General features: G+C 35.8%; 1 protein-coding gene across 4 annotated transcripts in view; it reads left to right on the forward strand.

Annotated features, from left to right (window-relative positions):
* Window positions 1-18324, forward strand: part of ZCWPW2 (zinc finger CW-type and PWWP domain containing 2) — a 177638-nt gene that overhangs the window by 47284 nt on the left and 112030 nt on the right. For all 4 annotated transcript variants that reach the window (NR_136708.2, NM_001040432.4, NM_001324169.2 and 1 more), the window contains one exon: window positions 17052-17396. Coding sequence is in view for 3 of the 4 variants with exons in the window: in NM_001040432.4 (NP_001035522.1) it covers window positions 17065-17396 (332 nt within the window). In the remaining variant the exon portion in view is untranslated. The remainder of the gene's footprint in view (window positions 1-17051; window positions 17397-18324) is intronic.

The raw sequence follows: 18324 nt of genomic DNA on the forward strand, positions 1-18324 counted from the left end.
TATACAGTTTTTGTCAATTATACATCAATGAAGCTGGTAGAAAGGGCAAAGGAGCTGATAATGCAGCAGGGTCAGTAGAGAGTTTTTGAGGAAAATTGGAAAAGCCAGAATGGATAAATCATGAAACATTAGAACACAACAAATTTCAGAGATCATCTAGCCCTATTCTCTAATTACAGATAAGAACACAGAGGTCCTCTAGAGATTATACAGCTAGAAAGTTGAATAACCAGTATGAAAAATTATACTTCATACTGGTTATTCAACTTCAATTCTTGATATTTTTCTGCTGTCTCTAAAATATTACAAAAATTTAATCCATATCGTTAGAATTATTTTATTAATCACTTCAAGTTCTTTCTGGAGGTAGGCAGGACACAAATAAGTAATATTCTTTTAATCCTGTTAATACTTTAAAAATGGCATTATGTGAACATTTCATTTTTAAAATGAAGGTTTGACTGAAAACACATTATATGTTCAGTATTGCAGTCTTATAAGCATTGTTTACAAGTGAGATATTATCTAGAAAGTGAAAACGATGAAAATTAAAATTATAATATCAAAATTCTCCAACTCTGAAGACAGTGGTGATACAGATACTGTTGTTTTTCTCAAACCCAGGAGAGTTGCATAATCTGTGATAGCCTGCAGCTAAAAATGGATATATATCTTCCTATAACCAAAGTATTGTAGAGCGAAAGTATGACAACTTTGGAAGAACAATCATTTTTCTCATTCACATGCAAACAATAAAACCAATTTCTATCATAAGTAGCCGTTTATCTTCATTACTATTCCATATGTATTTATTCATACTGTTTCATTAAATTCTAGTATTGGGCTGGGTGCAGTGGCTCACACCTGTAATCCCAGCACTTTTGGAGGCTGAGGTGGATGGATTGCTTGAAGCCAGGAGTTTGAGACCAGCCTGGCCAACATGGCAAAACTCCGTCTCTATTAAAAATACAAAAATTAGCTGGGCGTGGTGGCACATGCCTGTAATCCCAGCTTCTTGGGAGGCTGAGGCATGAGAATCATTTGAACCTGAGAAGCAGAGGTTGCAGTGAGACAAGATCACATCACTGCACTCTGGCCTGGGTGACAAAACCATACTCTGTCTCAAAAAAAAAAAAAATCTGGTATTATTCAAAACTCCTTGCATGTGTTGTGATTTTACCTTTTTGGGTACATCAGTCACAAAATAGATATACATTGTAATAAAAATGGATGCTTCATAAGAATTTATATTGGCTATACTCCATCTTAAATACCTTTGTTTTAATGAACGCAAAAACTATGTAATATTTTAATTCAGGAAGAATTGATCTTATTTTTTAATTTTTTCAAATTCTGCTATAACATTTAAAAATAACATGTATGGGCTGGGCGCGGTGGCTCATGCCTCTAATCCCAGCTCTTTGGGAGGCCAAGGCAGGTGGATCATTTGAGGTCAGGAGTTTGAGACCAGCCTAGCCAACATGGCGAGACCCTGTCTCTACTAAAAATCCAAAACTTAACTGGGCTTGGTGGCAAGCACCTGTAGTCTCAGCTACTTGGGAGGCTGAGGCAGGAGAATCACTTGAAGCCAAGAGGCAGAGGTTTCGGTGAGCCAAGATAGCATCACTGCACTCCAGCCTGGGTGACAGAATGAGACTTTATCTCAAAAATAAATATATAATTAAATAAAAATAACATGTATGTAATACAGAAATCTTTGTAGAATTTATGTAAAATCAACACAGACTTTTCTTACTTTTTATTTAGCTTATGAATGTCACTTAAAGCTATACATACCTATAATAATCGTACTGTTATTAAGTTGCTTAGAACTATTTATTAGGACTCTACAGGCCTTGGTGTTCTCTTTAATAAATTCAGGTGAACTAGTAATGCTTATTTCTGCATCATTTCTGTTGTTCTAATGAAGTTCTCATTATGTTTTGTATGCACAGTTTAGTAGCTTTCTTAGTAGGTAATTATTCTGTTTCTGTTTTCTCTGCATCTCTTCCAAAACACAAATTAAATGTAAGACATTGTCAGTCTGGCTGCTATAACAAATTACCGTAGACTGGGTGGCTTCAACAACAAACATGTATTTCTCACAGTTCTGGAGGCTAAAAAGTCCAAGATCAAGGTGACAGCAGGTCCTATATCTGATGGGGGACTGCTTCCTGGTTTTCAGATGGCTATCTTCTCACTGTATCCTCACATGGTGAAGAGTCGAGGTAAAAAGAGCAAACTCTGTGCTATTTCTTATTGTAAGGACATTAATCCCATAATGAGGGCTGTCCTCTAATGACCTAATTACCTCCCAAAGTCCCCATCCTCAAATATAATCATCTTGGGGGTGGGACACAACACTTTCTTAATTCCTAGAATTTTTACTTTATAGTTATTTAAAAAGTTATTTTGGATGGTGGACGGGAGGCAGGACTAGATTGCAGCTTCAACTCGGATGGATAGAACAGTGTGCGGAGGCTCACATCATGAATTTTTGATCCAGAACGACTGCAGGAATAAATCAAGAAACCTGAGAGGATCCACAGACCCTCTGAAGGAACCAGATTGCTCCTGCAAGACCTGGAAGACACCCCAAATACTGTGGGTGTCCAAACTGTGGAAGTGGGAAAGGGAAATTGTCTGCCCCCAAATACACACCCCCATGGAGGAAACTGAAGATCTAGATTACGGGAGGAGATGCCGTCCTTACCTGGAGCTGAGTCCATTTATAGAGCCGAGTGAAATACAGGGGTAGCGGAAGCAGCAGGAAAAGACCTGTGAGCTCGCTGGGTCCCCTAGAAAGCCATATCTGCCTGGCCTCACAGGAGTCCTTCAGGAGGGTGGCCAGAAGCACTGAGAAAAGGCCACAGGGAGAAGGAAATATCCAGCTGAACTCTGTAACCATTTGAACTGATCGAGAGGCCTCCTTGCCAGAACTCAGAGGAGGGCATGAATCCAGTGTGCAGACTCTACAGGCGGGGAACAAGGAAAGCCATATTTGCTTTTGCAGCTAGGAGGCAGGTAGCCTGGGGCAAGTTCTCAGCCCCATTTGCCCACTGCCTGGAAACAGACTTGGTGATGTTGCTGGGGGCATGGTGGGGGTGACACTGGCCCTTCAGATTGTTTGGCAGCTGGGTGAGGCCTGTGACTCTGGTTTTCCTCCACTTCACTGACAACCTGCATGACAGTGTAGACAGCCGTAATCCCGCTAGGAACATAACTGCTTTGACCTGGGAACCTTACCCCCATCCTCCACAGCAGCTGCAGCAAGACCCACCCAAGGAGAGTCTGAGCTCAGACATGCCTAGCCTTACCCCCACCCAGTGGTTCTTTCCTACCCACCCTGGTAACGGAAGACAAATGGCATATACTCTTGGGAGTTCTAGGGCCCCACCCACCACCTGTTCCTTTACATACTGCCACAGCTGATGCTCTCTGGGAAGTGTTACCTCCCTGCAGGAGGCCAACCAGCACAAAAGTAGTGCATTAAACCACTGAAGCTAAGGAACCTCCCAGAGTCCATTTCATCCCCCTGCCATCCACCAAAACAGGTGCTGGTATTCATGGCTGAGAAACCCAGAGATGGTTCACATCACAGGATTCTGTGCAGACAACCCCCAGTATCAGCCTGGAGCCTGGTAGACTTGCTGGGTGGCTAGATCCAGAAGACAGATAATTACTACAGCTCAGCTCTTAGGAAGCCATGTCCATAGGAAAAAGGGGAGAGTACTACATCAAGGTAATACCCCATAGGACAAAAGAATCTGAGCAACAGCAATTAACCCTAGACCTTCTGTCTGACAGAGCCTACCCAAATGAGAAGAAACCAGAAAATCAACTCTGGTAATATGACAAAACAAGGTTCTTTAACACCCCCAAAAAATCACACTAGCTCATGAGCAATGGATCCAAACCAAGAAGAAATCTCTGATTTACCTGAAAAAGAATACAGGAGGTTAGTTATTAAGCTAATCAGGGAGTCACCAGAGAAAGGTAAAGCTCAATGTAAGGAAATAAAAAAAAATGATACAAGAAGTGAAGGGACAAACATTCAGGGAAATAGATAGCATAAACAAAAAAACAATCAAAACTTCAGGAAACAGTGGACACACTTATAGAAATGCAAAATGCTCTGGAAAGTCTCAGCAATAGAATGGAACAAGTAGAAGAAAGAAATTCAAAGCTTGAAGACAAGGTCTTTGGATTAAACCAATCCAACAAAGACAAAAAACAACAACAACAAAAAAGAAAATATGAACAAAGCCCAAAGAAGTCTGGGATTATGTTAAATGACCAAACCTAAGAATAATTGGTGTTCCTAAGGAAGAAGAGAAATTTAAAAGTTTGGAAAACATATTTGGGAGAATAATCAAGGAAAGCTTCTTCAGCCTTGCTAGAGACCTAGACATTCAAATACAAGAAGCACAAAGAATACCTGCAAAATTCATCACAAAAAGATCATCGCCTAGGCACATAGTCATCAAGTTATCTAAAGTTAAGATGAAGGAAAGAATCTTAAGAGCTGTGAGACAAAATCACCAGGTAACCTATAAAGGAAAACCTATCAGATTGACAGGAGATTTCTCAGCAGAAACCCTACAAGCTAGAAGGGACTGGGGCCCTATCTTCAGCCTCCTCAAATGAAAGAATTATCAGCCAAGAATTTTGCTTCCAGCAAAACTAAGCTTCATATATGAAGGAAAGATACAGTCTTTTTCATACAAACAAATGCTAAGATAATTCGCCACTACCAAGCTACCACTACAGGAACTGCTAAAAAACGCTCTAAATCTTGAAAGAAATCCTGGAAACACATCAAAACAAAACCTCTTTAAAGCATAAATTTCACAGGCTCTATAAAATAAAAATACAGCTTAAAAAAACAAAGACGGCTGGGCATGGTGGCTCACGCCTGTAATCCCAGCACGTTGGGAGGCCGAGGCAGGTGGATCACGAGGTCAGGAGATCAAGACCATCCTGGCTAACATGGTGAAACCCCATCTCTACTAAAAATACAAAAAATTAGCCGGGCGTGGTGGCAGGCGCCTGTAGTCCCAGCTACTCGGGAGGCTGAGGCAGGAGAATGGCGTGAACCCGGGAGGCGGAGCTTGCAGTGAGCTGAGATTGCACCCCTGCACTCCAGCCTGGGCGACGAGCAAGACTCCATCTCAAAAAAAAAACAAACAAAAAAGACAAAAAGAAACAAAAAAAGCAAGGTATACAGGTAACAGATAGAAAGATGAATGGAATGGAACCCCACATCTGAATACTAACATTGAATGTAAATGGCCTAAATGCTCCACTTAAGAGATAAAGAATTGCAGAATCGATAAGAATTCACCAGCCAACTATCTGCTGACTTCAAGAGACTCACCTAACACATGAAGACTCAATATGCACCTAACACTGGAGCTCCCAAATTTATAAAACAATTACTAATAGACCTAAGAAATGAGATAGACAGCAACACAGTAATAGTGGGGGACTTCAGTACTCCACTGATAGCACTAGACAGGTCATCAAGACAGAAAGTCAACAAAGAAACAATGGTTTTAAAGTATACCCTGGAACAAATGGACTTAACAGATTTATACAGAACATTTCATCCGACAACTGCAGAATATACATTCTTTTCAGCAGCACATGGAACTTTCTCCAAGATAGACCATATTATAGGCCACAAAACAACCCTCAATAAGAAAGTTAAAATTATATCAGGCACTCTTTCAGACCACAGTATAAGAAAACTGACTCCAAAAGGAACCTTCAAAATTATGCAAATACATGGAAATTAAATAACCTGCTCCTGAATGATCATTGGTTCAAAAATGAAATCAAGATGGAAATTTAAAAATTCTTCCACATAAACGACCATAGTGATACAACCTATCAAAACCTCTGGGATACAGCAAAGGCAGTGCTAAGAGGAAACTTCTTAGCCCTAAATGCCTACCTCAAAAAGTCTGAAAGAGCACTAACAGACAATCTAAGGTCATACCTCAAGGAATGAGAGAAATAAGAAAAAAACCCAAACCAAGCAGAAGAAAGGAAACAACCAAGATCAGAGCAGAACTAAATGAAATTGAAACAAACAAACAAAAAAATACAAAAGATAGATGAATCAAAAAGCTAGTTCTTTGAAAAGATAAATAAAACTTTTAGACTATTAGCAAGATTAACCAAGAAAAGAAGAGAGAAAAATCCAAATAAGCTCAATATGAAATGACATGGGAGATATTTTAAATGACACCACAGAAATACAAAATATCATTCAAGGCTACTATGAACACCTTTACACACATAAACTAGAAAACCTAGAAGAGATGGAAAAATTCCTGGAAAGATACACCCCTGTTAGCTTAAATCAGGAAGAATTAGATACCCCGAATAGACCAATAGCAAGCAGCAACATGGAAATGGTAATTAAGTCCAGGATGAGGCAGATTCACAGCAAAATTCTGCCAGACATTCAAAGAATTGGTACCAATCCTACTGACACTATTTCACAAGATAAAGAAAGAGGGAACCTTTCCTAAATCATTCTATGAAGCCAGTATCACCCTAATACCAAAACGAGAAAAAGACATAAGCAAAAAAGAAAACTACAGACCGATATTCGTGATGAACATAGTTGCTGAAATCTTTAACAAAATACTAGCTAATCAAATCCAACAACATATTAAAAAATAATCTGCCATGATCAAGTGGCATATCAGAGATGTAGGAATAGTTTAACATATGCAAGTCAATAAATGTGATATACCACATAAACAGAATTAAAAAGAAAAATCACATGATTATCTCAATAGACACAGCAGAAGCATTTGACAAAATCCAGTATCCTTTATGATTAAAACTCTCAGCAAAATCAGCATACAAGGAGCAAAGTTCAGTGTAATAAAAGCCATCTATGACAAACTCACAGTCAACATAATACTGAATGGGAAAAAGTTGAAAGCATTCCCTCTGAGAACAGGAACAAGACAAGGATGCCCACTCTCACCACTTCTCTTCCACATAGTACTGGAAGTCCTAGTCAGAACAGTCAGACAAGAGAAAGAAATAAAGGGCATCCAAATCAGTAAAGAGAAAGTCAAACTGCTGCTGTTTGATGATGATGTGAGTGTTTACCTAGAGAACCCTAAAGACTTCTCCAGAAAGTTCCTAGAACTGATAAAATAACTCAGCTAAGTTTCAGGATACAGAATTAATGTACACAAGTCAGCAGCTCTTCTATACACCAACAGCAACCAAGCTGAGAATCAAATCAAGAACTCAACCCCTTTCACAATAGCTGAAAAAAGAAATTACTTAGGAATACACCTAACCAAGGAGGTGAAAGACCTCTGCAAGGAAAACTACATAACACTGCTGTTAGAAATCATAGACAACACAAAAAAATGAAAAAACATCCCACGCTCATGGATGGGTAGAATCAATATTGTGAAAATGACCACACTGCCAAGAGCAATCTACAAATTCAATGCAATTCCCATCAAAATACCATCATCATTCTTCACGGAATTAGAAAAAAAATTCTAAAATTTATGTGGAACCAAAAAAGAGCCCACATAGCCAAAGCAAGACTAAGCAAAAAGAACAAATCTGGAGGCATCACATTAACTGATTTCAAACTATACTATAAGGCCATAGTCACCAAAACAGCATGGTACTGGTATAAAAATAGCCACACAGACCAATGGAACAGAATAGAGAACTCAGAAATAAACCCAAATACTTACAGCCAACTGATCTTTGACAAAGCAAAAAAAACATAAAGTGAGGAAAGGACACTCTTTTCAACAAATGGTGCTGGGATAATTGGCTAGCCACATGCAGGAGGATGAAACTGGATCCTCATCTCTCACCTTACACAAAAATCAACTCAAGATGGATTAAGGACTTAAATCTAAAACCTGAAACTATAAAAATTCTAGAAGATAATATTGGAAAACCCCTTCTAGACATTGACTTAGGCATGGACTTCATGACCAAGAACCCAAAAGAAAATGCAATAAAAACAAAGACAAATAGCTGGGACTTAATTAAAGAGCTTTTGTATGGCAAAGGAACAGTCAGCAGAATAAAAAACCCAGAGAGTGGAAAAAAATTCTTCACAACCTATACATCTGACAAAGGACTAATATCCAGAATCTACAATGAACTCAAATAAATTAACAAGAAAAAAAAAACATCAAAAAGTGGCCTAAGGACATGAATACACAATTCTCAAAAGAGATATACAAATGACCAACAAACATACGAAAAAATGCTCAACATCATGAATAATCAGGAAAATGCAAATCAAAACCACAATGCGATACCACCTTACTCTGCAAGAATGGCCATAATCAAAAAATCAAAAAACAGATGTTGGCATGGATGCGGTGAACAGGGAACACTTCTACACTGCTGGTGGGAATGTAAACTAGTACAACCACTGTGGAAAACAGTGTGGAGATTCCGTAAAGAACTAGAAGTAGAACTGCCATTTGATCTAGCATTTTCACTACTGGCTCTCTACCCAGAGAGAAAAAAGTTATTATATGAAAAATGTACCTGCACATTCATGTTTATAACAGCACAATTTACAATCACAAAAACATGGAACCAACTCAAATGCCCATCAATCAATGAGTGGATAAAGAAACAAGAAACAGTGATATATATATAATGAAATACTACTTAGCCATTAAAAAGAATGAATTAATGGCATTCACAGTGACCTGGATGAGATTGGAGACTATTATTCTAAGTGATGTAACTCAGGAATGGAAAACCAAACGTCATATTCCTCACTTACAAGTGGGAGCTAATCTATGAGGATGCAAAGGGATAAGAATGACACAATGGACTTTGGGGACTTAGGAGGAAATAATGGAAGGAGGGTGAGGGACAAAAGACTACAAATAGAGTGCATTGTATACTGCTTGGATGGTGGGTACACCAAAATCTCACAAATCACCACTTAAGAACTTACCCATGTAACCAAATACCACCTGTTCCCCAATAACCAATGGAAATAAAATATTTATTTTGAACTCATTTAGACATATATTCTTATCACATCTCACATAAAAAAAGAAAATATAAGTGAAATAAATGTGGTTATGGAATTCCTAAAGCTTATTCATATAAACGTACTTTTCCTAAGTCTCTTTTCAATTCAGTCTTTGATGTTGATCTTTCCACATAATATTGCTATGGTCTGAATGTCTGTGTCCCCTGAAATTGATATTTTGAAATCCTAACCTCCAAGATATTAGGAGGTAAAGCCTTTGGGAGGTGGCATTAGGTGGTAGGCCTTTGCAACCTGAACATACTAAGGCAGGAAATTGGTACTGAGAAGTGGAGGTGCTGCTGTAATAAATTCCTAAGAATGTGATAGTGGATTTAGGGTAGAGGCTTGCAGAGTTTTGAGGGGCATGCCAGAAAAAGCGTACATTGCTGTAAACAGAGGTTTTTGTTTGTTTGTTTGTTTTTTTGAGACAGAGTTTCACTCTTGTTGCCTAGGCTGGAGTGCAGTGGTGCAATCTTGGCTCACTGCAACCTCTGCCTTCCAGTTTCAAGTGATTCTCCTGCCTCAGCCTCCCAAGTAGCCAGGATTACAGGCACCCACCACCATGCCTGGCTAATTTTTGTATTTTTAGTAGAGACGGCGTTTCACTGTGTTGGCCAGGCTGGTCTCTAACTCCTGACCGTGTGATCTGCCTGCCTCAGCCTCCCAAAGTGCTGGGATTATAGACATGAGTCACCCCACCCGGCCAACAGACTGTTAAGAATGATTCTGGTGAGGGCCCAGAAAGAAAAGAGGAGTGCAATAGAGAATGTCTCAATCTTCTTAAAAAATACCTAAGTAATCCTGAGGAGAATGTTGGTAGAAATATAGACAGTAAAGACCATTTAGGTGGGAGGCCATTCTCAGATGGAAATAGGAACATATCATAAAGCAATGGAGGAAAGGCCATCCTTGTTATAATGTGGCAAAGAACTTGGCTCAATTGTGTTCATGTTCTAGTGTTTTGTGGAAGTAGAACTGTGAGTGATTAAATTGAATATTTGACTGAGGGAAATACCTGAGCAAAGTGTTGAAGCTGTGGCTTGGCTCTTCTTGACTGCTAATAGTAAAGTATAAGAGGAGAAAAGTGATTTAAAGATGGAGTTGTTTATCAAAAGAGAAGCAGTACTTAAGGATTTGGAAACTTCTCAGCCTACACATATAGTAAAGAATGAGAAAGCATGTTCAGGAGAGAACATGAAGGGTGTGGCTAAATGACCATCTGATAAAGAAATTGGCAATCTCAACAGAAGCCAATATCTATTATCCAAGAAAATGGGAGAATGACCCTGCAGACGATTCAGAAATCATCAGAGTTCTTGAAATGCTTTTGTAGTGACTGTTGTCCAGTCATAGCATGAGAAAACCATATCTGTGCACTTTTGGGTGAGCTTATACTTTAAATTATCAAGTCTATTCATGTAGAGGCAATGACAACTACATCATGACTTTGAGAGGATATTGACTGGAAGATACAGTGTGGTTGCTGAGATGTTTAAATGTAAAAATATGTGCCTTGGAAATTATGAAGTATCTTATTTTTTGTGATACTCTTAGTTTTAAACAGACAATGACTCCTCTTTGCTTCCAGGATAATAAGGTCGATTAACCTAACATGGTAAATAAGACTCTTCTGAGGTTTTTCCACCCTCGCCTGCTATGACCTTTGCTTCCCTTAAAAAGTGTTCTAACAGCTCAGCTCAATATTTTTGTACGTTACATGCATGCATGTTTTCATGGAATTTCCTTTTCTTTTTTTTCTTTTTTTTTTTTTTTTTGACAGACAAGGTCTCGGTCTGTCACCCAGGCTACACTGCAGTGGCATCATCATAGCTCACTGCAGCTTCCAACTCCTGAGCTGAAGCAATCCTCATGCCTCAGCCTTCTGAATAATGGGAATATAGGTGTGCCCTATAACACCCAGCTAATTTAATTATTTTTGGTAGGGATTGCATCTCACTATGTTGCCCAGGCTGGTCTCAAACTCCTGGGCACAAGTGATCCACTCACTTTGGCCTTCCAGAATGTTGAGATTACAGGCATGAGCCATTGCACCTGGCGAGTTTCCTCCTATGTGCTCCTTTGCTCCATCACCTTGGTAAAGTGAACTACTTATCTTTTCAGGTTCAGCTCAAATGCTAGCTGCTCCCTGCATCCTTCATGGAGCCCTCTTATTTTAAGAAAATTATTTTCTCATTTGTGTTCTCCTAGGTATTTGTACATCTAACATCACACTGTATTACATTTATCAAGTATTTTATGGAACTTGGTATCTATGTTGTTCTGAGTCAAGAACAGGGATTGTTTCTTTTTCATCTTTTGTTCCCAGTGTCTGACTTTTAATAGGAACTCAATACTTGTTTGAATTGATGTTTAAAGTCATCCATTTATTCAAAAAACATTGAGTATCTATAGTGTGCAAAATAATATGCTAGGAGTTCAATATAGGGTAATAAGTAGTACTCTTATTATCCCCAGGTAAGGGATCAGAGATTTTGAGTGGTTAACTAATTTGCCTAGTAAAGAGTGGTAGAGTTGTCTGGCTGAAAATTGAGTGTCCATAACCATTCATATACATTTCCTTGAACTCAAGACTTTATAATTTTAAATAGCCATTCTGTGTTTTCTATTTTTAAAATTTAATATTTTGTTTTTCTGCATTTTCTAGTTCAATATAACTAAGTTATGAAATAAAAAATTAAAAACAAAAGTTGAATGAAGCAAATATTGTACTCAGCATAGCTTTGCATTTGTCATTGTCTTTATGAACTAATTCTGGTCTACTTAGGTATGATTATATAGGGATCCCTTCAAAGGCTCTAGCATTCTTGTGAACACATTCACTTCCTCATTGTCATTTGCATCTTCTCTATGTGGCAGGAGTTTTGAAAACCAGCAAAGTGTTGGAGAAAATGTAATGGAATCAATGAGAATCTGGTTTGAAAAGAATAAGCATTTTATGATCTATATTCTAAATTCTGGTAGCCTGGATAAAACGTATCAAATCTAAAATACCAAGAGGTTTAAGTTAGATGCAATTGAAAATGAGTATCACTATTTAAGTAATAATGACATTTTCTTAGTGTTAGTTTATCTTCTCAGCGTTATCCACTATGAGACCCAACATCCTAAGAAAATTTGAAAACCTTATCTACCATTTAAAAGTAATCTTTTAATCCCCTTAACATTTTATAATAGACTGTCATAATGAATTTTCATAAGCTTTCCATTGATGTGATGCCACAAACTTTCCCCTTTATAGCAACCCATTGGTTGCAAGTTGGACAAAATCCTACATGATTGAGTGACAGTAATTACTTTCTTCTTTCTGTCATCTCTCTCATACTTCATTATTTGCATTATTAATATTGTCTAGTTTTTCTGTTTCTTTTTAGAAATTTTCTAAAGTAACTTTATTTTGTGAGGAATAGTTTAATCTAGATAATATATTCTATAAACTAGTTAGTTAAATGTAACTCCAATACATTGCATAATAGTAATTGTAAATGAGTAACTGAAAGGCACATTTGTGAAGCCCTCTTAAGTTATGGCATCTCCCACCTTTTCAGCAGGAGACCTCACATATGACCAGCTTACATATGGTCTTAGTAAAGATTCCAGTGTCAATTTCATATTAAGTATTAGTAAAGCCTATTTTTCTTACTTATTAAACAAAAGTAAATAGAATGTCCTTGAATGAACTCGTTATTGATAATCTCATTCTTTCTAGATCTGTACCCCAACTATTTTCCCTCAGCTCAGTTGTTCACATAGACTGTCAATACCTGCTTTAGACTTAGAATTATCTGAATCTCTTTTGGTACAGGGAAAGACATCTGAAAGAAAGGAATACAGAGCCCAGAAATAGATTCATATGCACATATGTGAATTAGGGTAAAGAGCCATTTCGGACCAATTACTAAAAGATGAAGAATTAAATAAATATTATTTGATCATTGGTTAACTACTTAGATAAAAAGTAGAGTCTTCCATCTTATTCATTCACAAACACAGAAAATATTCCCGATACTCCAGATGGCTTAATTTTTTCTTTTTCTTTTTTTTTTTTTTTTTTTTTTGAGTCTCACTTTGTCACCCAGGCTGGAATGCATGGTGCGATCTTGGCTCACTGCAACTTCTGCCTCTCTGGTTCAAGCGATTCTCCTGCCTCAGCCTTGCAAGTAGCTGGGATTACAGGCGCCTGCCACCACACCTGGCTAATTTTTGTATTTTCAGTAGAGGCTGGGTTTCGCTATGTTGACCAGGCTGGTCTTGAACTCCTGACCTCAAATGATTCACCAGCTTCAGCCCCTCAAAGTGCTGGGATTATAGGCATGAGGAACCATGCCCGGCCACTGTTTTCTCCCTTTCTCTCACTATCCTCATTCAGTGAATACTGTTAGGTAGCAAAGAAACTGGAAAACATATGGAAAAATCTAAATGAATATTGTAGAAAACACACTAGTGATAATTATGACAAATTTTGAGGTATAAATGCAAAATAGAACTATGATGCTGGCAAGAAATGAGATAAAGGCACAAAGGTCATCTGGATTAAAGCATTCTGTTATTCTGAAGAAGGTAGAGATATTGATTAATTTATACCTTGTTAAATCATGTATTAAGAGTAGTATTAAGGGTAACTATTGTAATAAAAATAACATAAACTTGTCAAAACCAGTATAGAGAAGAAAAATATTAATTTGTTTTAATACAAGTTAGGAAAGGAGAAAATAAGTAAAGAAATAGCATAATAAATAAAAGGTGCACAAAAATGCAAGTATATCAGTGTCAAAGTAAATGAACTAAAATCACTGGTTAGCAGATCATATCTTAGATTGGATAAAAATGCAAATCCCAACTATATATTGTTTACAGGAGGCAGAGATAAGGAAACCCATAATATTAGAAAGGGTAAAAGTAAAGGGATGGTAAAAGTTATAACTAGGACCAAGCCAATCAGAAACATAACTACTATCTTAATTGCTATGTTAATAGTGGACCAAGTAGTTTGGTTCCACTAATTAAACTAGTAGATTGGCAAAGAACATTATTAGGGATAAATTGCATCATTACATAAGATGAGGAAGAATTCACCAACAAGATGTAACAAATCTGAACATGTATATATTTAATAAGCAAAGAAACCTGACAAAATTATGGGGATAAATTGACAAATCCACAATTACTATGGGAGATTTTAACATAGCCCTTTAAGTAATTAATATATCAACCATTTAGTATGGATAGAGAAAATTAACCCCACAATCATAAAATTTTATTTATAATTGTTGATACAAAGCTTGGTATAATGATTAAATGTACACCTTGCACCCAACAATTGAAAAATATGCATCATTTTTTGCACACATATAACATTCACAAGTGTTGTTAAGTAGGGCCACAAAACAAAACAAATGCCAAAAAAATCAATATCACACAGATTATATTCTCTAACCAAAATACAATTACATTAAAAATCAATAATAAAATCTCTTAAATACCCCTACCTTCTGAATTTTTTAAATTAAGTAACTCGGGTAAAAGATGAATAGAAACCTTGTGTTTAAAACTAAATAATAAAGCAATACTGAGATAGGAATGTATAACCTTGAATGCTTGTATTAGAAAAGACTGCAAATGAATTAACTAAGCATCAACTTAAGAAGAGAAAAATAAGAGCAACAGAGAATGTCCAAAGAAAGTAAAAGGAAAGAAAGAATTAAGAAAAGTGCAGCTATTCATTAAATAGAATTCAAAAAACTGAAGGGACTCAAATTCTGGTTGTTTAATAAACTCTGACAAGATAAATGAAGAAAAAAAGAGAGGGCATAAACAAACTTCAAAGCAAAAGAGACAAATGTAGTAGATATACTAAAATTCATAAAATTTATGTTAAAATTAGAAAATTCCTCCCTTAGGCAAACTTTCCCAAAATGGGGGAACATTTTTTACTTTATTTAATGAAGTGATTTTATAATCTTGATATGAAAACCAGACAAAGACAAAAGGAGAAATAAAATAATAGACAAATCTTATTTATACACACATGTAAAAATATTAATTATTAATAAACAAAATACAGCAATGTATATTAAAAACTTATGAGGCATAACCAGGTAGGGATTATCCAGAATACAAATATAGTTTATTATTCAAAAATTCATGAATACAATGTGTACCCAATTAATACATTTTAAAAGAAATCCATATATTTATCTCAGTATATGCAGAAAAGAATTTGATGAAATTAAACACCACATTATGATTAATATCAACAAAAAAAATCCTTTTGGTAAGCTGGTAATAGAAGGAAAACAACTTTCTGTAGCCTTTTAATGGTCTCTACAAAAACCGTACTCCCAACATAACAAACATTCGAAGCATTCTCTTTAAAATTAGAAAAAAAAAAATCTACTATCATGGCTTCTAGTCAATGTTATATCTGTCTTAGCCACCATAGTAAGACAGCATATGAATATTGGAACTAAACAAGCAAAAAAAGTTGTTACACACACACACTTCATGTGAAGTGAAAGTCTAGCAAAGGGCAGAGACTCTGTAAGTAACACATAACCTGGCTCCAAAGTCTAACCTCAGTCACTTCTGCTTTACTGACTGGTGACCCAGAAAGTAGAGAAAAAATTTATTCACTTCAGTTGCAATCCACATTGCGTTTTTGCCTTTATGCATTTTCTCATCAATTAAAGAATTAAACACATTAAAACAAATATCATTAGTAAAAGTTTATATCTTCTGCTAGATTTGATTCTGTTTTTAGACTTTTTCACTCTTTCAACATGAAAAACAGTGTTACACTGAATGTTTTTGGTCTTGCTATGTATTGGTTGGTCTTTTTAAAATTTATTTTATTACATTTGCATGAGTGGGATTAGTAGGTCAAAATTTTCGAACTATGGCTATTGAAATATATGGACAAATTTCTAAAGCAATTTGCAGTGGCCCTGGTAAGATATGTGACAAATGTAAGTAAGTGAGCTTCTAAATATATGATTAACTTATAAATTAAAGGATTCTTTAAATGGTGCTTATACTTGGATAGTATGGTACATTAGTCTTTTTATTTTTAAGAAACAGACTTTGTATTGCAAAATAAGTTGCCAATAATTAGTTCTACTTGTATTTTATTTATATTTATTTATTACTATATACTTTTTTATTGAAGCCAGAATTTGGGGGCTTTGTTACACAATTCAAACTTTTTATATGTTTAAAATTTTTCTAACAAAAAAGCTCTGAGAAATTTAATTAATAATAAATAAAAGCTGAAACTATATGAGATTTATTTAATTTTTAAAAATCTTGCATTTTTGTATGTTGAAATATTTTGCTGCATTTGATTTCCTGAGACAGAAGAAGAAAAGGTTCATTTAGTCATGCAATATATATACTCAAGAGGCAGTACAAACTAATGGGTAAGATCACAAACTTAGAATCAAACTGCTGACATTTAAATTCCAGCTCTACTGTGTACCAGTTCCAGGACCTGAGACAAATTGCTTTACATTTCTTAGCTTCAGTTTTGTCTGTAAAAATGAGCATAATAAGGTTGTTGGGAAGACTATATGAGCCATGTGTATAAAGCACTTAGAATAATACCTGGTGCATAGTCAGCATTCAGTAAGGCTTAGCTGTTATCATGGGAAAATGTACTTGATGTATACCAGATGTGTGCTATATATTAGGTTAATAGAAATTATAGTCACCTCTACTCCCCTTTGGCTCCATCATATTTTTCTTATTTTTAATTTTGGTGCATTTTATGCTCAGAGTGATTGTTGTTTCTATTTTGTTCCTTTATTTCTGGGTAGGTGGAAACAACGTGTTCAACATATGTAGTCTTTGTAGGATAGAGAGGGGGTGGGCATAGAAGATATCAAAGAGGAATTTCTCTGATTTTTGGTTTGAATTTTCTCTCCTTATACTCTTGAATCCTCATTCTGTTATTTTCCTCTTTCTTATTTTCCAGATTAAATGCCTTAATGGATAAAGAAAAATTGGATGTTAAGATTGAATATTGTAACTATGCAATGGATTCCTCAGTGGAAAACATGTATGTAAACAAAGTGTGGGTTCAATGTGAGAATGAAAATTGTTTGAAATGGAGATTGTTATCAAGTGAGGATTCAGCCAAGGTTGATCATGATGAACCATGGTACTGCTTCATGAACACTGATTCAAGATATAATAACTGCTCAATTTCTGAAGAAGACTTCCCTGAAGAGTCTCAGCTTCATCAGTGTGGATTTAAGATTGTCTATTCACAGCTCCCTCTTGGAAGCCTGGTTTTGGTAAAATTACAGAATTGGCCAAGGTAAGGTTTGTGTAGTTTTATGACTTTTGAAATGTAGTCTTGCTAGGTTTATGAATATTAAAAATCTTTTTGAAGACTAAACATTTTTCTTTTGTCTACTTGTTTCTTGATTTATCATTGCTCTTTTCCATACTTCTTTGGATTTTTTTCTAGCTTTTTAAATGGGAAAGTTAGGTAACTGAATTCGAATCTTATTTTCCTCCCAATATAGGCAATTAAAGCTATAAATTTTTCTCCAAGTAGTGTTGTAGCTTCCTCCTACAAATTTTGATATACTGTGTTTTATTATTCATTTTGAAATATTTACTGATTTTCTTTGTGATTTCCTTTTTGAAATCCGTTTTTTAGAAGTGTGTCTTTAAATTACCAAATATTGGGGAATTTTAATGTGTCTTATTGCATTCTAATTTAAATCTGTTGTAATCAGTTCCACTGATTCTGATTGTATGGCCCACCATACCTTCTTGTGGCATATCTTATTAATGTTTCACAGTCATTTGAAAAGCATGTATTCTATAATTGTTGCCTAGATACCTAAAATATTTTTTTCTTTAGATTTATGTAGATTTATTATATTCCAATATTTCCCATTCTAGGTTGGTTTTCCCAAGTATGCAGTGTGCACTTTCAGTATATAACTTCAAGTCTTATTTTTAGCTAAGGTTTATTAAATTATAACCTATTATATTTGTTCTGTTGCATTGCTTTGATTTTCTTATTTTAGGATTTTGATATTACTTATGGTGGCTATTTGTCTATCGTTTGTATTACCTTTTCTTGAACTGTTTTTCTCTTTTCAATTTTTATAAATTTAATTTTTTTTCTTTTTTTTCTGAAGGTATTATCAATTGTTCTTGTGTTTCTTCTAGTTTAGTCTTTCTTGTCAAAATTACAAAAAAATTTTTCATTAGTCATGTTTCTTCTCTTT

The sequence above is a fragment of the Homo sapiens genome, chromosome 3 (genome assembly GCF_000001405.40).
Source record: "Homo sapiens chromosome 3, GRCh38.p14 Primary Assembly".
NCBI classification, from domain to species: domain Eukaryota; kingdom Metazoa; phylum Chordata; class Mammalia; order Primates; family Hominidae; genus Homo; species Homo sapiens.